At 40.5% G+C, this 24,398-nt stretch overlaps 1 long non-coding RNA gene across 1 annotated transcript in view, besides 5 other annotated features; it reads left to right on the top strand.

The window, feature by feature from the left end:
• Positions 1 to 24,398, top strand: part of CASC21 (cancer susceptibility 21) — a 147,995-nt gene that overhangs the window by 4,096 nt on the left and 119,501 nt on the right. The window lies entirely within an intron of this gene.
• Positions 2,469 to 2,518: an enhancer, noted in NCBI's record as "active region_27935". NCBI's record gives its function as "activates an Ori minimal core promoter by ATAC-STARR-seq in GM12878 lymphoblastoid cells {active_cell/tissue: GM12878}" and the evidence as "EXISTENCE:reporter gene assay evidence [ECO:0000049][PMID:35858748]".
• Positions 2,719 to 2,768: an enhancer, noted in NCBI's record as "active region_27936". NCBI's record gives its function as "activates an Ori minimal core promoter by ATAC-STARR-seq in GM12878 lymphoblastoid cells {active_cell/tissue: GM12878}" and the evidence as "EXISTENCE:reporter gene assay evidence [ECO:0000049][PMID:35858748]".
• Positions 3,306 to 3,901: an enhancer, noted in NCBI's record as "NANOG-H3K27ac-H3K4me1 hESC enhancer chr8:128264283-128264878 (GRCh37/hg19 assembly coordinates)". NCBI's record gives its function as "activates a minimal SCP1, AML or CMV promoter by ChIP-STARR-seq in primed H9 embryonic stem cells {active_cell/tissue: H9 hESC(primed)}" and the evidence as "EXISTENCE:reporter gene assay evidence [ECO:0000049][PMID:30033119]".
• Positions 20,211 to 20,280: an enhancer, noted in NCBI's record as "active region_27937". NCBI's record gives its function as "activates an Ori minimal core promoter by ATAC-STARR-seq in GM12878 lymphoblastoid cells {active_cell/tissue: GM12878}" and the evidence as "EXISTENCE:reporter gene assay evidence [ECO:0000049][PMID:35858748]".
• Positions 20,291 to 20,360: an enhancer, noted in NCBI's record as "active region_27938". NCBI's record gives its function as "activates an Ori minimal core promoter by ATAC-STARR-seq in GM12878 lymphoblastoid cells {active_cell/tissue: GM12878}" and the evidence as "EXISTENCE:reporter gene assay evidence [ECO:0000049][PMID:35858748]".

The following is a 24,398-nucleotide window of genomic DNA, read 5'->3' on the forward strand; positions in this document are numbered from 1 at the left end:
TTTTTTTTTTTTTGTATTTTTAGTAGAGACAAGGTTTCACTATGTTGGGAAATGTTTGCTTTTTAAAAAAGGAGTGTGTTAGTTTTGCAGGGGTGGCATAACAAAGGACCACAAAGTCATGACTTATCACATTCATCCTCTCACAGTTCAGGAGGCTCGAAGTCTGAAATCAAGGTGTCAGCAGAGTCAGTTCCTTTAGAGAGCTCTCAGGCAGAGCCTGTTCCCTGTTTCTCTCCTAGCTTCTGGAGGTGCCCGCAATCCTTTGATTTCCTTGGCTTATAGATGCATCACTCCAATCTCTGCCGCTATCTTCACATAACATTCTTCCCTATGTCTCTGAGTCTTCAAATTTTCCTCCCCTTTTAAGGACACTAGGCATTGGATTTACGGCCCAACCTATCCCAATATAACTTCATCTTAAACTGATTACATCTGCAAAGACCATATTTCTTTTTTTGGACGATGTCTCGCTCTGTCACCTAGGCTGGAGTGCAGTGCGCAATCTTGGCCCACTGCAAGCTCTGTCTCCTGGGTTCAAGCGATTGTCCTGCCTCAGCCTCCCAAGTAGCTGGGATGTCAGGCGTGTGCCAACACACCAAGCTAATTTTTGTATTTTTAGTAGAGACGGGGTTTTGCCATGTTGGCCAGGCTGTTCTTGAACTCCTGACCTCAGGTGATCCGCCCGCCTCAGCTTCCCAAAGTGCTGGGATTATAGGCATAAGCCATCGCGCCTGACCTGCAAAGACCATATTTCTGAATAAGGTCACATTCCCAGGCTCTGAGTGGATATGAATTTTGAGGTGGCACTATAGGGCCCACTACAGGGGAAAAAGATAAAATTATAACAAACCCATGTGTCATTCCATGTTGATCATGTGCCAGTAACTTCCAGGTTTTTTTTTTTTTTTTTGATCATTTAATTTGAGTTCATCAGAAAGAGTCCATTTTCCTCCTGTTGGGAATGTTTTTGATCTACATGTAAAGTCACTTGGTCATGTCTCTTGCCAGGTGATCATTTTCCCTAGGTCAGTGGTCATCATTATTAAAACGGACATTGATTCCAACCCCTGGGGTTTCTGATTTAGTGGTTCAAGGATGCGGCCCCAAAATTTGCATTTTTAAAAAAGTTCCCAGATGACGTTGGTGTTGATGTTGCTCATCCCAGACAACACTTTGACTCCCAGAAATCAAATTTCTCTGACTCTGTACTTAGAGAAAAGCATTTCTAGTTATGTCCAGTCATTGATGTCTCTATTTCCTGTGTGTGGTTGATGACTAGGTATGTGGAAAGAACCCTATATACAGGACTGTTGTGCTAAGGTCATTATCGTAATATTGATAATTATTCTTTGTATCCCATTACAAGTTGCAAGGTATCTTCCCATACTCTATTTAATGTAACTTTTGAACCAGTGATAAGTTGGTTACTGTTGCTCCATTTTACCCAGGAAACTAGTTCAGAGGTGTAGTGTACCTTGAGACACATCATTGTGAGCTCATGGTAGAAGCTGGGTGGCAAATTCTCACCTTTTTATTCTAGAGCCTGTGTAATCTGCCACCCAGCAGCTATTTTATAGCTTTTGAACCTAAATTTTGATGAGAACTATCTCGGTGGTGCTCTGAAAATCACTGCAAATTAAGACAACACACAGGTTTGTTTCATAGTGTATTTGTGCTACCAGCTGCATCATCAAGGTGGTGACGATGGTGTTTCCCCTCGCTCTTCTTTTCTAATCTTAGTAAAGGGCTTGCCAGCCCAGTTCATCCGAGTTCTTTGCTCCCTGTTCCCTGATTGTCCGAATGGCAAGTTTTGTATATGCTAAGGTTCACTTCCTAACACGAATTCTCTGAGGTTCATTGGTTAATGACCCTTTCTTCTCAGGAACCAGAGAAATAAACATGATGTGGGTTGTGTTCTGTGCAGGTTGCTTCAACTTTTCTCCTCCATACTTTCTCTCCGTAGCATCACACATCTGATGAGTGGGAAAGCTGAGATTTGAACCTGTGCCATCTGTTTCAAAGCCTGCCTCTAACCATTTCACATGGCCCTGCTCACTGCCCTCAACAGCACTTCCTGTTCTATCAGAATCTTGCTGAACTCCAATCTGACATTGCGGGTGCTCAAGAAATTCACCCCACACATTTGCATCTTCACTGTGCTCCACCCAGGCTGGCTGTTCCTGGTGGAGGAGTTTCCAGCTCACCTGGGGTTCCTACCCTCATGCAGGTGACAGGTGTCTGAGTAGCTGAAAACACAAGCTTTAGACCCAGGCAACTCTAAATATGACGCACCACTTTTTCTTCTTACTGTATAACCTTGAGTAAGTCACTGATTTTCAGAACCACTGTTTCTTTATCTGTAAAATGGGTACAAGAATATCAAGTGTGCGTAGTTGCTGTGAGAATTAAACGGATAATTTATGCAGCAAGAAGCAGCTCAATCATTGGAGCTTTTATTATTTCTGTCATCCTATTGCCTCTGCCTAGAGCCCCTAATCTACTCCTTTTCTCTCTCTCTCTCTCTCTATCTCTCGACCAGGCTGGTCTTGAACTCTTGAACTCTTGCCCTCAAGCAATCCTCCCTTCTCAGTTTCACAAAGCATTGGGATTACAGGCATGAGCCACTGCAACCAGCCCAAGCTTGATATTTTTATACCCATTTTACAAATGAAAAAGTGGTGGCTCAGAGAAGTCAGTGACTTGCTCAAGATTACACAGGAAGGAAAGGAATGGGGAGTCATACCTAGAGTTGCCTGGATCCAAAGCTCGTGTTATTAGCTACACACACACACACACACACACTCATCATCATCATCATCATCATCATCTCATTTATCTCCTTATGGAGGCTGCAACTTTCTTAGCCACTTTTAGTCCTCATCAGTCCCAAGCCCTTCAACCAGAATAGAAAACTGAAAGGCCCTGACTCCTCCCTTTTTTTCTATCTGCCAGCAGCACCAAACAAACCCTGCATGTAGGGTCTCTCCCCTAGGTATGCATAGTCATCCCTCGGTATCTGTGGGGGATTGGTGCCAGAACTCCCCCATGAATACCAAAATTCACAGATGCTTAAGTCTCTTATATAACATGGTGCAGTGTTTGCATATAACCTATGCACATCCTCCCGTATACTTCAAATCATCTCTTGATTATTTATAATACCTAACACAATGTAAATGCTGTGTTAATAGTTGTTAACTGTATTGTTTAGAGAAAAATGACAAGAAAAGGATGTCTGTGCGTATTCAGTACAAATGCAACCACCATTTTTCCCTCAAATATTTTGACTGTGGCTGGTTGAATTCGTGAATGTGGAACCCACAGATAAGGAGGGCCCACTGTATTTTGCTCAGCTAGCTTTCCTTCTCCTCCCTCCTTGCTGCTTAACCCTGAGGCAGTCTTTCTTCTCTCTTTATCCTCCAGGGCTAGGTGAGGGGCTCACAAGCTGAGTCACCATGCTGGAGTGCAACTCTCTTTGCATATCTCTCTCTCTCTCCCAAATTAGGAGCCTCTTGAGAACAGGACCTGGGGCTTTGCTCTTTAGCTTATCTGCATGGATCCAGTATAGTCCCTGCATACAGCTGGCTCTCAGGATTTATTGAATGGCTGATTGCTTCCTGAATTAGTATAAGAATGCCAGCCAGGCATTTTTCAGCTGGGTGTGGTGGCTCCTGCCTGTAATCCCAGCACTTTGGGAGGCTGAGGTGGGCAGATCACGAGGTCAAGAGTTCGAGACTGGCCTGGCCAACATGGTGAAACCCACCCCCGCTCCCCGTCTCTGCTAAGAATACAAAAATTAGCCAGGTGTGGTGGCGTGCGTCTATAGTCTCAGGTACTCGGGAGGCTGAGGCAGGAGAATTGCTTGAACCCAGGAGGCAGAGGTTGCAGTGAGCCAAGATCACGCCACTGCACTCCAGCCAGGGCAACAAGCAAGACCCTGTCTCGAAAAAAAAAAAAAATGCCAAGCACCATGGTGAGCACATGGGTGACCCTGCATCACTGCTTGCTGACTTGGTCTTAGTAAATATGACACTTCTGGGGCTCCTGGTGAATGTCCTGACAGAGGTGGCTTGGCTTGAATTGAAATCTGGGAGTGCTACATGAAGGCACTGTGAGACAACTTATGCCAACCCTGACTCTCTTCATGGCATCTCACTGATGCCACCTTTCTTGCTTTCATTCACAGTATTTTTTTTTTAAGAAATGATCTTATTTTATTTTTTAATTTTTATTTTTTAATTTTCTTTTTTTATTTTATTATTATTATACTTTAAGTTTTAGGGTACATGTGCATAATGTGCAGGTTAGTTACATATGTATACATGTGCCATGCTGGTGTGCTGCACCCATTAACTTGTCATTTAACATTAGGTATATCTCCTAATGCTATCCCTCCCCCCTCCCCCCACCCCACAACAGTCCCCAGAGTGTGATGTTCCCCTTCCTGTGTCCATGTGTTCTCATTGTTCAATTCCCACCTATGAGTGAGAACATGCGGTGTTTGGTTTTTTGTTCTTGAGCTTCTCTCTGGCCAAGGGGAAAATTGCCTTCGGGATTGAAATGAATAGGGTGCGGGCAAACCTCACCTCTGGATTGTTATGGTTGTGAAGTTGCTACAAGTCAAGCTATTTTGCCAGGAAGTTTCCATTAATTTACATGGCTTTCCAGTAAGGTGCAAACAAACATCTGAGGCTTATCGCTTCCAGACATCACCCTTCTCTTCCAATCATCCTTTGGAGCATCCTATCTTGAGAGTCTTCTTCCTTTCCATCCCTGCTGCTCTCCTCCACCCCCGCTGGGAGTTGCCTCTGTGATGCCTTAATAAGTTCACATCTTGCAACACATCAGACCAGATCGACCCTGCTTCCAGCCAGCCTCACTAGCTATAAAATCTTTGCTGGACTTCAAAACTCCTTCTTACCCACGTTCATGTTGGTAAGCCTGATGCAGTTCTCTGTTGCTTCAGGATGAGGAAAATAACACTTGCTTTATTTTCATTTCCATTCCAGTCACTGAGGCAGCCATGCTTGGTGACAAGGCTCTGATTATGAGGCTGCAGGCTGGCACAGTCAGCAATGACTAATCCTAACACAGTAGTCAATGTTAGTTAAGCTGCAGGGGAAAAAGCAAAAAGAAAACAGAAGCATCAGCAATTGCACGGTTGGAAATAAAATGCTATCAGGGACAATAGACTAAATCAAAAGATGTTAATTCACCACTATTCAATAAAGAGGAACTGAGGGAAATATAAACAGTGAAGAAGACATGAAGCCCGCCCTTGCTGTGCTTATGGGCTGGTTGGGCACTGGACTCACCCAGTGTGAGCCTTCAGAAGGAACTCCCTCACCAGGCTTGCTATTAAAATAGGGAGTCTGATGGAAGTACTGGTATCCAGCCTTTTTAGTACAAGGAATGTCTCTTTTGTTGCTTTTGTCCAAGGATCCGATGTTTGGAAAGAATCTGATCCAAAAATAAATGATCACCGTTTTCGTGAGTCCTTAATTCCTTGTATCAGTTTTCTATTGATCAAAGATATACAAGTCACAAATAAAAACTGCTGATCAACAGGAATCAGAAAGTAAATCCAACTTGAAGCACAGTTTATTTAACATTTTAGATAGTTTATAAAGTATTAACAAATTAAGCTGGGTGTGGTGGCTCACCCCTGTAATCCCAGCATTTTGGGAGAATGAGGTGGGTGGATCACGTGGAGTCAGGAGTTCGAGACCAGCCTCGCCAACATGGTGAAACCCTGTCTCTATTAAAAATATAAAAATTAGCCGGGTGTGGTGGCACAGGCCTGTAATGCCAGCTTCTTGGGAGGGTGAGGCAGGAGAATCACTTGAACCTGGAAGGCAGAGGCTGCAGGGAGCGGGGATCATACCACTATACTCCAGCCTAGTTGACAAAGCGAGACTGTCTCAAAACAAAAACAAAAGCAAAAACAAACACAAACCAGTATTAACAAATTAATGAGTTATTTCCTTGGGCTTTTAAAAATATTGGGAATTGCTCATGACCTCACTGCTCTCAACTCCACAGTACCTTTGCTTTAGTTCTCAAAGTGTGATATGAAGGAGGAGTGATGGTCTGTGCATTTGTTCAGATATTCAAGCTGTCCCTTTGCTTCTTATGTGCAAGTGATTTTCAGTTCCATGGACTTGAGTTTTTGCACTTCTTGGTGTTAACCTATTATGAGAATTCTTCAAGGGTTACTAAAATTGGGTTATTTACAAAAATAAATCCTGTCTGTTACCAGCAATTACTGAGGTCTCTAATTCAGGACTGTCCTGAGTGTTGGATGTCACATATGTCAAAATATTGCAAAGCTCCTACTGCAAATGGCTCATGTAACCAACACTATTAGAGAATATTTCCTGTTTAGAAATTTATTTTAAAAATTGAAATTAAAATTTTAATTTAAAAGTTAAAATTATTTTACCACTTTAAAAATCTTTCTAGCATAGATTATACCCTTAAACAGAGGATATGAACCTATTTACCTTTACTAATGGCCATTATTAAATTCACTTTTACTCTGTTTCTTGCACAGAGAGAGAGAGAGAGAGAGACAGAGAGGGGCAGGGGTGGGGGGAGGGTTCTGAAAGCCTGATGCACTGGAATCCAGCATATCTTTAATTGGCAATTATATTTCCCCTTTTCCCCAAAACCTGTTTGAAATAGGCTTCTGTCATTTACTACTTGAAAAAGTTACTGATACTCTTCTTGCAGAGTATCAGTGCAGTACAAATTACACCTGAAGGTGTTAGGTTAAATAAAACAGCATCAGAAATCTCTTTAACAAAATTGATCCTCAATAAATTAGTTGGTAGACACATTCTTCCGGAAAGACAGTGAACTCAGTTTTCTACACATGCTTTTATTTGGCCTGAAGAAAATAAAATCATGCCTTACTTTTTTTATTCTTTTCTCTTTTTTTGTGAGATAGGGTCTTGCTTGCTCTGCTGCCCAGACTGGAGTGCAGTGGTACAATCACAGCTCACTGTAGCCTCAAACTCTTGGGCTTTAAGTGTTTCTCCCTCCGCATTCCTCCTGAGTTCTGGGACTACTGGCACATGCCACCATCTCTGGCTAACTTTAAAAGATTTTTTTTTTTTTTTTGTAGAGATGGGAGTCTCGCTATATTGCCAAGGCTGGCCTTGAACTCCTGGGCTCAAGCAGTCCTCTCATCTTGGCCTCCCAAAGTGCTGGGATTACAGATGTGAGCCACCATGCCCCACCTACTTTATATTTTTAAAGAGCACTTCAGAGTCTTCTAAATACTTACACAGCTAATATTTTACCTCATCTACAGACACCTCTCTAACTCTTTCAGCTATTTCATAGACTGTTGACCATGTAGCCAAGCAGAGAGGATGGAGTTTAGGAAGAAGATGTATTCGTAAGGAGAGGGATTTCATTCCAAAGGCAAAAAGATCTACTAAAAAATATTTCTTGAACACCTTCTATGATAGGCCCTCGGACTATAGTAGTGAATAAGACAGGCAAAACCATTGGCTTCACAGACAGGAAAATGCACAGAGCAAGCAAGACTGCTTTATTTCACTCAGAGCTAGAGAGACTGGCAGGCAATTGCCTGTCATCTCCTTTGTCTATCTCAGATGAAAACATCAAAATCTGATGAAAGTAAAAGAGATAAATTTGGGACACAAAATTTAAAGTCACGATCTAGCCTGCATTAGACTTGGGTCATATAGCTTACTCAACCTTTCTAAGCCTCTAATGGGACTTACCTTCCAGGGTTGCTGGGAAGATCCAGGAAGATGATGCATATTATGCAATGTACCTGGTACTCCCAAGTTCTCAGTGAGGGAATGGATTCTAAATAAAGGAGGACTGAAGGAGTCCACTGGCTTTTCTCAGAAAAGTCTATTTCATATTACACAAGCAGTGCCAAGGCACTATATACAAATATATACATGTATAACTCATTCATAATTTCAACACCTCCTAAAAATACTGCTTCCATCTGCCTATGTCCTTTCTCCCTGTGACCACAAACACACATGACATTTGAGCTTTAATCAGTGTAGTTACCATTTCTAAATTTATTGTTTTATTCTCTGAATATAGTATGAAAAGAGTCCATGTTTACACACTACATTTGCTACAGCTATAACACATTATTTAGACATTATTTTTAAGTGCATACTTACATTCATCCAGTTTTCAGCAGTATGAATAGCGTGGCAAAGTATATCCTTATGCAGAAAAGGTGACACTTCTTTCACTGTAAATCCTTAGAACAGGCCCTTGGGATGGTAGACTTAAATTTTATTAACATCTCTCCACGATGTTATTATAAAATATTTGTTCAATTATCAAAATCCTTTGGAGAATTTAGGGAAATTGAAGGAATGGGGCTTCTCGTGGCATGTGAAGTGGTTATGTGGAGAGAGAACAAGGATTTAGTGTGGAATGAGATGTATATAGGGAGGGAGCATTGGAATCACTGTGTGAAGTGGTTGTAGGAGATATTACTAGGGATTACGAAGGAGTAAGAAGTGGCTGTTGGTCGGAGGATTGGAGTTTATCACGGTGTGTGAAGGATGTGTCGTATTTGAGGATCGGTGTTACTCTGGCATGTGATTGGGCTGTGGGCACGAGAGGATTAGGATTTGCTGTGGAGTGTAGTCATTTAGGGAGCATGGATAGGGGTTTATTGTGGAGTGGCTTTAGGGATGGAAGAACTGCAAATAACTAAGGGGTTAAAAGTGGATGTTAGCTTACAGAATGAGAATTTACCCTGGGGTTTACCTGGGAATGTGAACTGTTTGTAGAGAGGAAGGTTTGGGGATTCACATGAACTGCAGAAGGGCTGGGAGAGGGGAGAGCGTTCACTGTGGAGTCAAGCATTTTGGGGAGGAAGGATTGAAAATGACTGGGGAGTGTGAAGTGGGCTTGAGGATGGGGGTCCTGTGGAGTGAGAAGCGGGTGTGAGGATAGGGGGACTGCAGTTTATTGTGGGGCATGAAGCCGTGTGGGAGAGGAGGTTTGAGGATTCCTGTGGCGTCTGCAGCATGTGTAGAGTAGAAAGATTGGTGATTAACGCGAAGGTAAAAGAGCTGCAGCTGTCCTGTGGAGTGTAAGGCATCTGAGGCTTGGTGAATTGGGGTGTATTGTGGCGTGTGAAGTGGTTGATGAGAGGGATGAGTAGTACTTGATTTCAAATATAACCTGGTTTTGTGGAGAGACGACTGAAGCTTTCCATGGGCGTGAAGCAGGTGGTTGTGGGGGAAGAACTGATACCTTCCATGGAGTGTGAAGTGCAGTGGAGGTGGGAGGCCTTTCCTGTGGAGCTTGACATGGTTATTGGGTGGGGGATTGGAGATTGCTGTAGAGCAGTAAGGGGCTTTGTGGTGGGAGGGTAGGGTTTACTTTAGAAGGTCAGGGTTTCTGGTGAGGGAGGATTCAGGTTTAGTGTGATGTGTGAAGCAGTTGTTGGAGGGAGGACCGGGTTCTTCTTGGAACATGAGGTGGTGTGGGCAGGGATCATGGAGGATTGCTAGCAAGTGTGAAGTGGCTGTAGGCGTGAGAATTTTACTATGGGGTGTGAAGCGTTGGGCCTCCTGTGGAAAGGTGAATTACTGTGGGGGAGGAGGTTAGGGCTTCCCACGGGAGGTGAGGAGGTCTGAGAAGGGTAAGATTGTAGTTTGCTGTGGACTGTAAAATGCCTGTTGGGTCAGACGATTGGATTTACTGCAGAATATGTAGTGATTGTAAGGAGGGACAATTTTTGCTTGATGTGGAATGTGAATTGGTTGTATGGAGGAGGATTTGTGTTTATGATGAAGTGTGAAATGGTGGGGAGAGGGTCTGAGGCTGACTGTGGAGTGTTAAGTAGATATGGCAGTGGGAGGCTTATGGCTGATTTTGGAGTGAGACATGGTATCCTGAGTTATATTTTGCTCCCTATCTTTCCATAAACTATCTCCTAAATCTGACTAAACATGTCCCTCCCAGGGAAGCCACTTAGAATCATGGGAACCCTTCCACCACCTATACATCCCTCTTCTCCTCCACTTAGAAGAAATTTATTTGAGCACTTTAATGTACCTGGCCCAGTCCTAGGAGCTGGAAATATAGAAAATACAAGCTTTTCCTTCAAGAAGCTCTCAGTTTAAAAGAAAATGAGAAGCTCAAGAGCAGAGAAAACAAGTTACTGAGTTTTGGGGTCAGCTCTATGCTTCAGAGAGAGTGGGCAAGAGCATCTTCAGGTTTCCACCTTAAGAATCCATTTCAGTTCTTCAGGAAGAAATAGTGCCCAGCATTTGGGTGTGACATGCCCTTCTAGATAGTGAGCATGGGTCTAGAAGCAGCTATCCCTTTTGGAATCCTGAATACCATATGTGAGGTACCATCTATCTGGAGATCCTAACCCTGGTGAGCCCTGGGTCCTCTGGGACAAAGGACTTAGAAAGCAGCATTGGATAGAGCAGGGACCCTGGAGTTGGCTAGATCTGGGCTCAAATTTCAGTTCTGCAACTGTGATGGGCATCTGCCATTTAGCCTATGTGAACACCCTCTCCACATTGTGGTAGTTCCCTACAGTGTAAGTCTCTCCATTCCAACATAGAATCCATTTTCCCTTTTTACATCAGGGCCGACAGGTGACACAGGCCCTGCTCATCAGACAAGTTCTGGGAGATACATTTTGAGGGGTCAATGATATTAATGGAAAGGGAGGCAGGATGCAAAGAATTTATTCAGCTGTTGTAGACTAATGCAGCTGTAGCCTGGTTCTATAGTCTCCAGTTGGGGTGGCAGCTCCTGGCTCACAGCATCCTGATTATGGTAGGGGCAGCTGCCCTCTGGGTGTATTAGTTCCAAGGTGTGGCTCTGGGAATCTTTCCTGAAATTTTAGTCTGTATATCATAAAAGCCATTTTATCGTTGTGGTAGCTATCTACCACCTTTAATAGAACTCTTTCTGCTGAAAATAGCTGCATTGAGTTATGCTGTCTACGTTAAAGAAACATGACCATAACAAATACTAATAAGCTTTGAAACCACGAATAAATCAACCTGCACAGGTCCCTTGGCCCATAGGGGCAAGCCAGCTTAATAGTTACCGGTATAGACTTGCGAGCAAGACCATTTAGGTTTTAATCCTGGCTCTGACACAAGTTGTGTAAGCTTGAATAAGTTATCTCCTGGGGTGCCTGTTTTCTCCTCCATGAAGTGAGAATAATGTTGTTTACTTCATGGGGTTGTTGTGAGAATTAAATGGACTAATTCATATCAGGTGCTTAGAAAAGTACCTATGATACACAAAACACTGAATAAAGATTAGTCATAATGATCACTCTTTCTGAGCCTCAGTTTCCATTTATAGACTCAAAGCGAAAACATTTACCTCATAAGTTTGCAATGACAATCAGATTTTAATAATGCATTTGATTATTTCCTTCCTTCCTTCCTTCCTTACTTCCTTCCCTCCTTCCCTTCTCCCAAAATGAGGAAAGAATGAAATGGTATTGACAGGAATCTGAGGACCACCTAAGGCAAACTTGACCTACTTACCAGTTTTGAAGTGTTTCATCTCCTTTGGGACAGCTAGAATTAGAACTACACCCCAAGAAAAATGCATTGTCCAGGGAGTGACAGAAAACAGCTATGCATGTTAACTAAACTAAGTTTACTTAAAGAGTCAAGCAGTTAACATTTATATAAGTTTCTACTGAGTAAAGAACTTTCAACTAGATTTTTATTGCTGTTTTTTAATTGTAAATTGACAATTTATATAAATGTAAGAAGTAAAAGGTGATGTTGGCCAGGCATGGTGGCTTATGCCTGTAATCTCAGCACTTTAGGAGGCCAAGGTGGGCAGATCACTTGAGCTCAGGAATTCAAGACCAGCCTGGGCAACATGGCAAAACCTTGTCTCTACTGAAAATACTGGGCCTGGTGGTGCACACCTGTGATCCCAGCTACCCAGGAGGCTGAGGTGGGAGGATCACTTGACCACAGGGGGTGGCGGTTGCAGTGAGCTGAGATTTTGCCACTGCACTCCAGCCTGGATGACAGAGAGAAAGAGACCCTGTCTCAAGAAAGAAAGAAAGAAAGAATGAATGAAACAAATTATAAAGTAATGTTATAGTTTATGAATACAATCAAGCTAGTTAACATATTCATCACCTCAAATACTTTTCTATGGTGAGAACATTTGAAATTTACTCTCTTAGCCATCTTGAAATGTACAATGATTTATTATTAATTATGTTTACCACAACATGCAATAGAATTCTAAAACGGGAAAGAATGTATTCCTCCTGTCATTTTATACCATTTGATCATCTCCCCATTCCCCCCACCCTAGCCTCTGTAATCGCCGTTCTGTTTTCTATTTCTATGAGTTTGATTGTTGTAAATTCCACATTATAAGTGAGAACGTGCAGTATTTCTTCCCATGCCTGACTTATTTTACTTAGCATAATGTTCTCCAAGTCCATCTATGTTATTGCAAGTAACAGAATTTCCTTCTTTTTAAAGACTGAATAGTATGTCATTGTGGGTTTATATCACATCTGCTTTATCCATTCATATGTTGATGAATGCTTAGGTGGATTCCATACCTTGCCTATCGTGAATAATGCTGCAGTGAACATCAGAGTGCAGACATCTCTATAACAAACATTTCAAATCTTTTGGGTAAAGACCCAGAAAAGGGATTGCTGGATCATGTGGTAATTCTGTTTTTTTGTTTTTTTGGGAAACCTCCATACTGGTTTTTATAATGGCTGTACTAATTGGCATTCCCATCAAAAGCGTGCAAAGGTTTCCTTTTATCCACGTCTCTGTCAACACTTGTTATCTTCTGCCTTTTTGATAAAAGCCTTTCTGACAGATGATATCTCATTGTGGTTTTAATTTGCATTTCTCTAATAATTAGTCATGCTGAGCATTTTTTCATATGTCTGTTCACCATTTGTATATCTTTTGTTAAGAAATATCTATTCACGTCCCTTACCCATTTAAAATTTTTTTCTTGCTATTGAGTTTTTTGAACTCCTTATATATTTTGGATACATTAATCTCTTATCAGAGGTATGGCTTGCAAATTTTTTCTCCCAGTCCATAGGTTGTCTCTATACACTGGTAATTGCTTTGTTTTTTGTTTTATTTTGTTTTCTTTTCGTGCAGATTTTTAATTTTATCTAATCCCATTTGTCCATTTTTGTTGTTGTTGCCTGAACTTTTGAAGTCTAGTCCAAAAAAATCATTGCCCAGATTAATGTCATATAGTTTTTCTTCTAGAGGTTTCAGAGTTTCTGGTATTACATTAAAATCTGTGATGCTTATGAGTTGATTTTTGTACATGTTGTGAGATAAGGATCCAATTTTATTCTTCTGCATGTGGAAATCCAGTTTTCCCAATACCATTTCCCAAGAACATTTATTGAAGAGATTTTTCTCTTTCCATTGCATATTTTTGGTACCTTTGTTTAAAATTGGTTAACCGTATCTGCATGGGTCCATTTATGGGATCTCTGTTCTGTTGGTTGACATGTCCATTTTTTCTGCCAATACCATGCTGTTTTAATTACTACAGTTTTGTAGTATAATTTGAAGTCAGGTAGTGTGATATCTCCAGCTTTTTACTTTTTGCTCAATATTGCCTTGGCTATTCAGAGTATTTTGAGGTTCCATATGAATTTTAGAATTGTTTTTTATATTTCTATGAAAAAAGATGTTGGGATTTTGATAAAGATTACATTGATGCTATAGACTAATTTGGGTAATATGGGCATTTTAATATTATGAATTTTTCCAATCCATAAACATGAGCTATATTTTCATTTATTTTTTTCTTCTTTAATTTTTTTTTCAATATATAGCTTTGGGGGTACAGGCCTTTCACCTCCTTGGTTAAATTTATTTCTAAGTATTTCTATATTTTTGTAGCTATTGTAAATAAGATTGTTCATTTCTTTTTCAGATAGTTCATTGTTAGTGTATAGAAATGCTGTCAATTTTTGGTGGGGCACGGTGGCTCATGCCTGTAATCCAACACTTTGGGAGGCCGAGGCAGGCAGATCACGAGGTCAGGAGCTTGAGACCAGCCTGGCCAGCATAGCGAATCCCCATCTCTACTAAAAATACAAAAATTAGTTGGGCATGGGGGTGTGTGCCTGTAGTCCCACCTTCTTGGGAGGCTGAGGCAGGAGAATCTCTTGAACCCAGGAGGCGGAGGTTGTGGTGAGCCGAGATCGCACCACTGCACTCCAGCCTGGGCAACAGAGCGAGACTCCATCTCAAAAAAAAGAAAAAAAGAAAAAAAAAAAAGAAATGCTATTGCCAGCAATTTTTGTGTGAGATTTTTGTATCCTGCAACTTTACTGTATTCATTTATTAGTTCTAATAGTCTTTTTGGTAATGTCTATAGGGTTTTATATGTATAAGATTATGTCATCAGCAAACATCGACAATTTCACTTTTACTATTTGGATGGCTTTTATTTTTAGTTATTTGTTTATGTATTTATTTTTGCCTAATTGCTCTGGTAACGCCTTCCCATATTACACTAATTAGAAGTGGCAAGAGTGGGCATCCTTGTCTGGTTCCAGATCTTAGGGAAAAAGGTTTCAACTTTTCACCATTGAGTATAATGTTAGCTGTTGGCTTCTAATATATGACCTTTATTCTGTTATGGTACATTTCTTCTATACCTAATTTGGTGAGAATTTTTATCATGAAAGAATGTAGAATTTTCTCGAATGCTTTTTCTGCATCTCATGAGATGATCAAATGCTTTTTATTCTTCATTCTGTTAATATAATTATGAGTTTTTATACTGCCTGGTTTTAAATGACTTTTATGTTCCTTTTTTGCAATATTACAGCTTTTCCCATTTTGTATCTTGAGTAAAACGTTTTGATTAAATAGAAGCAGTTTTCCTTTATTCTCAATAAATGTTTTCCTCTAAGAAAGGTAAAATGATTTAAACATGAGCTTTTTCCTCAGGCAATTATTAGAACCACTGTAAACAACTCAGATTTTTGGAGAAAACAGTGAAGAAGCTTTAGATCAGCAAAATAGTCGACACATGGTCCATTGGTATCTTTCTTTTTTTTAATGTGAATTTTAGCCTCTATATCAATTAACTTTCATTATAAGCCATGAAAAACCCAACTTAAATTGTTTGTGGGCCAAGAGAAAGTTGGTGAGAGTGGCAATGTCAGCTGCATTGCAAGGATGAAAACTCATAGCTACAGCCCTAAGATCTGGAACCAGACAAGGATATTCTTGCTGAAGAGAAAAGAGCTGCTTCGAACCACAGATGGATTTGCCACTTAAAGTCCATTTCAGGTCGGACATCCTCCCTTTTCTTATAGTCATGCCATCTAGAACATACGACCTCCAGGGTCACCAAGGCAGAGACTAAGAGGGACAGAGGAGGGTTGTAATTAATCAGCTCGCATGCATTACTTCCACTCAAGTCCACTGGCCTGCTTTATTCACATGGCTTCAGTCTAACAATAGGGAGGCTGAGAAGTATAGGTAAGCAATGGCTGTTGGGAGAGTCTCTACTGGCTATACCACAACAGTTATCTCTATCTTTTCTGGTTTTCATAAGGAGGTATATTAGTCCATTCTTGAATTGCTATAAAGAACTACCTGAGATCAGGAATTTTATAAAGAAAAGTGGTTTAATTGGTTCACAGCTCTGCAGGCTATACAGGAAGCATGGCTGGGGAGGCCTCAGGAAATTTACAATCATGGCAGTAAGCAAAGGGGAAGCAAAACATGTCCTACATGGTGGGAGCAGGAGGAAGAGGGCAAAGGGGGAGGTTCTACACATTTTTAAATAACCAGATCTCCTGAGAACTCACTCGCTGTCATGATAACAGCAAGAGGAAAATCCACCCTGATGATCCAATCACCTCCTACCAGGCCCCTCCTCCAGCACTGGGGATTACAGTATGACATGAGATTTGGGTAGGGACACAAATCCAAACCATATCAGGAGGAATTTACTCTAAACCCTAAGGCCTCTCTCCACTTACCTTCTATTGAGAGAAAGAGTGACTTAGCTACTGGGTGCCTTTGGAAGAAGGATTTAAGCTTGTTGGTACAGCCTCTCCCTTTCTTTCATTCTTTGAAAATGTACCTGAGAGTAGAGAGCATAGATTGCGCTCTTCTCCTTCTTGCTTCAAGCTTTGCTGGAGAAGAATTCCCCCATCAATACAAGGGTGGGGAAACCCTGTAATGACCCAACAATGCTTGAGATTGGACAAATACATTTGTTTTATTCTGAGATTTGATGTTAAGAAAGCCATTACTGCTGTTTCCTTTAGCCGTAAACCCACAATAGTGTTTATCTATAGTGGTGGTGATATTCTGATCCCCATCTGTCTCACTTCAGTGTCTTTCTCTTAATTGGTTCTGAATTCAGGCAGGGAACAAGGGCCATGTTGATAGACCCTAGAGCCCAACATCAGCATCAGTTTGTTCAGTTGTAAGATGTGTTCAATAAGCACTCAGTGAACGAATGCACCTGTAAGAAACCTGAAAGATTATCTGGTAAAACATGCCCTTAGAGCAAGATAAGTAGAATCCAAAGCAATGATCTGACTGCTCAAAATCACCGATATTGACAACTGACTCCCAAATCCCTGCTTCATCTAACATATATTGCTAATACCATGCCCAGATAGAACACAAAGCAATATTTATTATATGACAAATTCTCTCCATAATTTTAGAGAGTTTTCCCTAAGGAAAGAAAGGACTTTTTAAAAAAGAGAGATTAAACTTTTCCAAGTATATTACATACTATTCTTTTCCTGGAGGTAGGGGGGTAAGTTCTTTGCCACACCCCACACCTACCACCCAAACTATTGAATACTTTTGGGTGAATCATTCCCAATCTGAACTGATAATCCTTGCCGAAACCTTTTCTTTCCAGACCATAAAAACACAGCAGCTTGTTAATCATACAACTATTTAACCCAGTCCCTCCCTAGTCCTACAAATGAGCTCCAAGCCCATAACGTATAATCTACCCACCCACACATATTGAAATGAGATTATTGTTCCCACAGAAAAGAGCCCTGCAGTTGCACAAGTCCCAACTTTGCTCCCGAGGGCGATAAAAGGGACAAGGAAAAGGCATGGAGTTGTTTGATAGGCTTCTAAGGAAGGCTCAGAAAGGATGAAAGATTACCCTCCCAGGTACACAGTGTGGAGCAGCGTTCCAGCAAACATCCAGAGGGTTCCCACACTCCACCCAGGCACGCTCCCGAACTCTTTGATCTAGAAACCACCACGAATTACTGATCGTTACAGAGGTGGCCGGAGTGGATGAACCTATCTTTTCTTATAAAGTAAGAGCTTCCAGGGAGGAAAAATACCCTCAAAAAGAACATTGTGGCAGGTGAGAATCCAGGCTGAGGAGCAGCTTGCCACAGCAGAAAAAGAAGAGTTTTGGGGATTGTGTACACCTAGATTCCAGTCTCAAACCTGCCACTTAGAATCAGTGAGAATCAAAAATACAACTACTGAGTCCCCTCTATGCGCCAAGAATGAAATTAGGCACTCTAGTGATAAATGTCCATAAGACCTCAGCTGGCACGACCATCACCTGTGCTGAGTTAGACCTTTTCCACCTTCAAACTGTAGATAATAAAACCAACATCATATAATTATTATAAAGAGAGGAGAAAAATGCAGGGACAATGCCTGGTGCACAGTCAACATGCAGTCAACGGCAGTGCTGACTCTTTCTCACTCATTGGCAGGCACTAGTTGCAGGGTGTCTTGCATGAGAGGGTCAGACACCCAGCAGCAACTCTGGAGAGCATCCCAGCTACACAAAGTTTCAGGTCAGCAGCCAGGATTTGAGCTTCAGCTCTCTTACCATCCCAGAGACTAGAGGAGCCCCTGGATTCAAATGACACATCTCAGTGGACACTGAGAAAGGTTTAAAACAGATTGGACCTCTCAGCTGGCATCATGGAAGTAGGAGTCAAAAGAGACTTGCTGCAAGGTCACTGGAGGTTTAGAAAAGGACAGATGTTCTTTGACATTCCCTGGTTCCTTCTTAGAGAGACAAACATAAACAGAGAAAATCAGTTTGTCCTTTGAAGAAGTTCCAGATGGAAACAGCAAGGCTGTCTTACTCTGTGAATGTTTCCTTGATCCATCCCCACCGCTCCCAGCAAAGCCTGAATCCCTTGGTCACCACTGTCCTGTAAACAGCCCTCTAATGTTGCCTGAAGCTCAATTATAAAAATATCTAGCTTCTCCCTAAACTAGACACTCCTCCAGGGCAGAGAGTGTGTTGTATATGTGTTGATATTAATCTGACAAGGAAAAAAGCCAATAATTATTAAGTGCCTACTGTACAACAAACACTTTTTTTTTTTTTTTTTGAGGTGAAGTCTCACTCTGTTGCCCAGGCTGGAGTGCAGTGGCACGATCTCAACTCACTGTAACTTCTGACTCCCTGGTTCAAGTGATTCTCCTGCCTCAGCCTCCTGAGTAGCTGGGATTACAGGCACACGCCACCATGCCCAGCTAATTTTTATATTTTTAGTAGAGACGGGGTTTCACCATGTTGGCCAGGATGGTCTTTATTTCCTGACCTCATGATCTGCCCACCTCGGCCTCCCAAAATGCTGGAATTATAGGTGTGAGCCACTGCGCCTGGCCAACAAACACTTTAAAAATACAGAGATATTTATATATTATACATACTTTTAAAAAATTCAACTAATCCATATAAACCATATTTTATACTTTCTTTTTCACTGAAGTTTGGAGTGATAGCCTTATTTCTTTTAATTGTTATGAATATTTCCTCATATAGATGTATCACAATTAATTTGAGCATTCTACTACTGATTGATTTTACAATTTTTCCTCTTCCCTTTGCTTTATCAAATTTATTATCTGTAGTCTTTGTCTGCATCAAAGATTACTTCCTAACAATAGACTCCTAGAAGTCAGTATCACACTGTCTTGTGTATAGTGAGACAGTAAGGCATAGAGGTAATAAGCAATAACTCGGGAACTAAACCACATTAACTAGCTGTCTAACCTTAAGTAGGACATTTAACCTTTCTGGTTAGAGTTTCTTTACTCTAAACCATAAGTTATCATAGTAACCAACTCATAGGGCTGTGGCAAACAGTAAATGAATTAATATATGTAAAGCACATAGAATAGTCCCTGCCACATACTAAGTGCTCTATTTTTACTATTATTATTTATATTTATACAGCTGTGCCCCATAAGACTGGGAGACCCTTGAGGACAGTGGCCACGTCTCACTCATGTATTCCACCCCCCTCAGCCTGGCACTGAGAAGGAGCTCTGTGCACATTTGCTGAATAAATAAGATATGCGAATGGGGAAATCAAACATTGACCTGGTTGCGGTCAATATTCCATAGTAAATAGTTCATTAATTTGAATTACATTTTTATCCATATGTATATACACATATATATGAAACCTTACCAGTCTTTCACACCTTAGTTTGGAATGAGTTTCTTGCATATTTTCTGGAGACAAAGATGTTAAGTGGAAGAAAAAGGACACAAAAGGTCTAGGTGCCCCAGGGAAAGAGCAGAATAGACACCACCAGGAGCACATAGAAAAGAGGAATGATGTGGTCAGTTCAAAAACAACGTCAATGCCTCCTCAATTTCATCTAGCATTGGCTCTGCACTTATAAAATTATATTAGAGTCAGGCTCCTATTCACTTAACTGTGATTGATCATTTCCTTTCCCATCAAGAGAATAAACCCAGAATAGGGAAGCAAACAAGGACAGAAGCCAATGATTATTGAGTGCCTACTGTAAACACACACTTTTAAATAATAATATTATTGGAATTTCACACAGACACCCAGCAGTTCTATATGATTATCCCCTTCCCACAAATGAGAAAATACTGAGATACAGCCATGCTTGGTCATGCAGCTAGAAAAAAAAAAAAAAAAAAAAAAAACCAAAGGAATGATTTAAACCCTGCCCTCTTTACATCTTGGTTCTAACCTTTTCTTCCTTGTTTAAGCAGAAGGGACCCAAATAGGGCTCATTCCTAAGAAGCAAGGCTTTGCGAGCTTAGCATCCTGGCATTCTCAACCAAGCAGGAAAAGAGAGAGTTCATCAACTTTAAATCTCATTCGTAAAACTGCCTATAAGCACAGTCATTTTCCTTTGTTTCTACTTGGGTACCATGTTGGGAGATAGGAAGAAGCAATCTGTTCTGAAACAGGTCCAAATAAGGCCTCTCAGTCAACAAGTCGGGACTTGTATCATCAGGGAACCAAAACTGCTGAATGTTCTGTAGTTGGAGGGGATCCACCACAGGAGACTATGAGAGGCAGCATTCAAAATTTTACATAAACATTCTTCAAATCAGCAGCTTCTGCCTTGAATGTAAAAAGTGGAAAAAAGCAAAGAAAAAGATGTTTTGTTCTTATTTTTCGTTGTTTACTTTTTTCTCATTTTACATTTGTTTTCATTTTTCATTTTTTACTGTGTCAAATTGTGATCCTAGTCAAAGAAGCCTGAAATGATTTAATGTGATCCCTAGGAGGGTTGGGTGTTTTACAGAGAAAGGTTCAACTATATTTGGAATATATGTGCTGCTTAGGCATATGAATTATGCATATGCTAAGGTAAAACCATAGACTTATTTTCAATTTTGCTTCCAAGTATTTCAAAACACAAATCTTCTATTACCTCATGTGTTATCATCTCTTAATGGGGAAATAAAATGGAGACCAGAATTTATTTTCCCTATACAGGTGAGAAAACTGAAGAACTAGGATTAAGTAACTCCCTAAAGTCTGGAAAAATAAGAGATTTTTTTAAAAGATAAGAAAAGGAAAAGAAAAACCTACTCATTTAGGGCCCTGGAATAACAGTAACATCTAACGTTGCCATAATGTTGTCACCAATGCAAGGATCCTTCTAGTATATCCTTAGGGGACAGCCATCCAAATCCTGCTTCTGCACATCCAACAAAGGGAAGATGTTTTTCCTCTCAGTGGGAACCCATATTTCAAAGAAAATACTCCACATGAGAAATGCAGATGTGTGGCAGGCACTGAACAGGCCTGGGAATGCTGGAATCTATCTGCAAGGCAGTGTTAATCCCAGGTGGTTAGTGATCAGTGCCATGGCTCAACTGTGGCATATGGAAGTATTCAGGAATTTGTTTCTTCAGGAACAGTTATGTATGTGTCTGGTTCAAATGCTGAGTCAAGACCTCACCCTTGCTCATGTTACAAACTTATTTCATTTTAACCTTCTTATAGGGATAGAATTTGCATGTGTGAGATAGTTAGAATGCCAAATATTTATGAAGCATTTCCAGTGCTTTTACTCATGTATTCTTACAGTCACTCTAAAGAAGCATTATTATCCCCATTTTACAAATGTAGAAATTGAGGGTTAAAAATTTGTCCCAGTGGGAAAGCGGAAGACCAAAGACACTATCAGTGTTAAGGGCTGATCTTGGTATTATACTAGGAACTTTAAAAAGAAGTTGTAATTCTAGATGATGGATGGTGGTCTATCACAGGGGATGACTTCTGAACTTGGCTTTGAGGATGAAGGAGAAGAAAGCTTTTCAGATTAAAGGAACAACGTCAAGAAAAGACATGGGGCCTTGAAAGAAGATACTGAATTTGCAATACTTCTTAAAGGTAGCTCACCTGACTCTCCAACCAGACTCTCTTCATTATGCCCTTATACAGAGAAGGTACCTGTATGCATTTATTGATTGCCTGCTGGGAGATTAGCTGATGCCATTCCCATCACCATGACAATCAAGTGGGTTTCAGCAGCTAATCCTATATTTGGGACTTGCAGACCTATTTTCAGATGCAAGCACTGAATCAGAAAAGTAGAATTGGAAAAGCTTAGGGATGGTCTTCTCTAGAGCTTCCAAACTTGTCTTTAGTAATGAAAATCTTTTTTCAGACAATATTTTCAATGTACCATAGGTAGGCATGTATTCCTTGGTATTTTGTCTCTTTGATAAAATATACCTAAATTTTATTTGAGAAACTACCCTTTTCACATATAGTATGTAGGATTGACCCCAACCACCAGCTCTAATTTGGGTCAGTAATTGGTTTAAGCCATGCATCAGGTTGTATTTCTCTGGAACCATGATTGCTTTAGGGTAGGCAAGTGATCTCTGCTGATTCAACCAGATTGATCCTCAAAGAATTGCCTGGAACTACTGGACTAGAACAGCTTCACTGGTTGAGATGATGAAGATGTGAAGGCTGGAACTGCCAGGAGCCATGGCTGCTACCATTAGCAGTTCTAGCCTGAGGCCAAAGCTAGCACAGAAGGCAGATCCATGAGAAATATAAAGAAATGAGCCTCTAATGTAAATATAGTTAACCTGCTGGATCAAGCTGTTTCCTAAGCTAGTTGCCTCTGGCCTTCTTAGTTAAGTAAATACATAGATTATCTTTTATGCTTCACCCAGTTTGAGTGGGATTTTCTGTTAGTTGCAAATGAAAGCATTTTTAAAGAATCCAAAACCCCATGATAAGACATAGATAAAACCAGGTTCTCCCAGTTAAAGTGATGGTAAGAAACTTAAGAGTCTCACCCACAATGTACTTTCAATTTCTAAAATGTGGCGCAGATGAACTTTACTATCTAGTTTAATTCTTTTATTTTACAAATGGCCAAACCATGATTCAAAGTGAATATTAAAATATTGGCAATACACGTGAAGGAATACAAACATGGGTACAAGTATATTTTTTAAAAAAAGCAGATTTCAGAAAATTGGACAGGATGAAGGGTTGCAGTTTAAAAATTAGGAAGCTTTTATCTAGAGAAATCCCAATTATGCAGGATTCAAAATAACATGAAATAAGCCATCAGTAATTACAATATAGTCACTTATGTAGTGTAAGCATGTTCCACAATGTCTATAAAAAGTATTAACAGTTATTGTCCTATAGATAGTTGATCATGCTTAAAAACTGCATTAAAGTACTGTTTGCTACTTTGACCATGCTTATAAACTTCTAAACTTGCCACAGAAATTTCTGGTATGTTCTATTAAAAATACACTTTTCCTAGGGAGGGGCTGGTTTTATATTATGCCATTCATTTTACCTGTTATTTCAACTGTACACAGCTTTACACTGTGATGCATTACCCTGTAACCTCAGCTTTCTCTCTGGCAGACATCAGTGTCGCAGGGTATATTCTTATGACAAAATAAAAGAAATTCAACAGACAGATCAAAATTTGGGACACAATATAAAAGGCACATGGTAGACCGTTTTGCGATGGTCAACTTGTAAAACATCATGATCCACAGAGGTCAGAAGACTAACCAAATTTACATAACTGGTCAAAGAGAAGGGAAAGTAGAAAATGTGTATGAATATATAATCAATAAACGAGTCATTTATTCTCAGTTTAAATAAAGTTATCTTCAGAGAGGTGCTAAATCCACAAACCACATTGCCTTCATTCTTTTTTTCCAGTGAATAAAAAAGAAAAACATTTCAGTAGTTAGATGAACAGATTTTAAACTAAAATTTCAAAGAGCATTTTTTTATTGTGTCTCTTATCTAAAGATCAGTCATTACATGACCCCTTTCCAAAGTTTAAGAAGTGTTTTATAGAAATGTGTCTGATTAAAAGCTTGGTACTCAATACAAAAATGTTTTTATCCTTCTGGTTGATGGAATGGAAGTCGTACATGTAATAATGAGGCAGAATAAGTTCTGAAGGCAGGCAACCTCAGGCTGATTCAAACTTACTTCCTAGAACTAAAGCAAAAGGAAAACCTCAACTTTCCATGCCCAAGTAACAAAAGAACCAGAGGCTACTCCCTTTGCAACCCCCAGTTTTCTGTGCGACAGATGAAAAACTAAAAGTACCTCTGATTGGTCCCTTCCCACAACCAATCAGGCTGGCTGCGGGCCAAGTCTTCCTTTGTATAGGAGTATAACTTTGTAACTTCAGGTTAGCCTCTGATTGGTCGTTTTTCACGACCAATCAGACGTTTGCATATGGTGTAACTTTGTAACTTTGCTTCGGGCTCTGATTGGTTCCCTACCTCAACCAATCAGACTGATTATGGGCCACTACTTCATTTACATAGGGGGTACACAAAGTAACCAATAGGACATCAATGGGACACCTCTAGAGAGTATTTAAACCTCAGAAAACTCTGTAATTGGGCCCTTGAGCCTCTTGCTTGGGCCACTCCTACCCTGTGGAGTGTGTTTCCCTTTTCAATCTCTGCTTTTATTGCTTCATTCTTTCCTTGCTTTGTTTATGCATTTTGTCCAATTCTTTGTTCAAGGTGCTAGGAACCTGGACACCCTCCACCTGGACACCATCTACTAAACAATAACTCATAAATTCTGGTTA

The sequence above is a fragment of the Homo sapiens genome, chromosome 8, assembly GCF_000001405.40.
Source record: "Homo sapiens chromosome 8, GRCh38.p14 Primary Assembly".
Taxonomy (NCBI): Eukaryota; Metazoa; Chordata; class Mammalia; order Primates; family Hominidae; genus Homo; species Homo sapiens.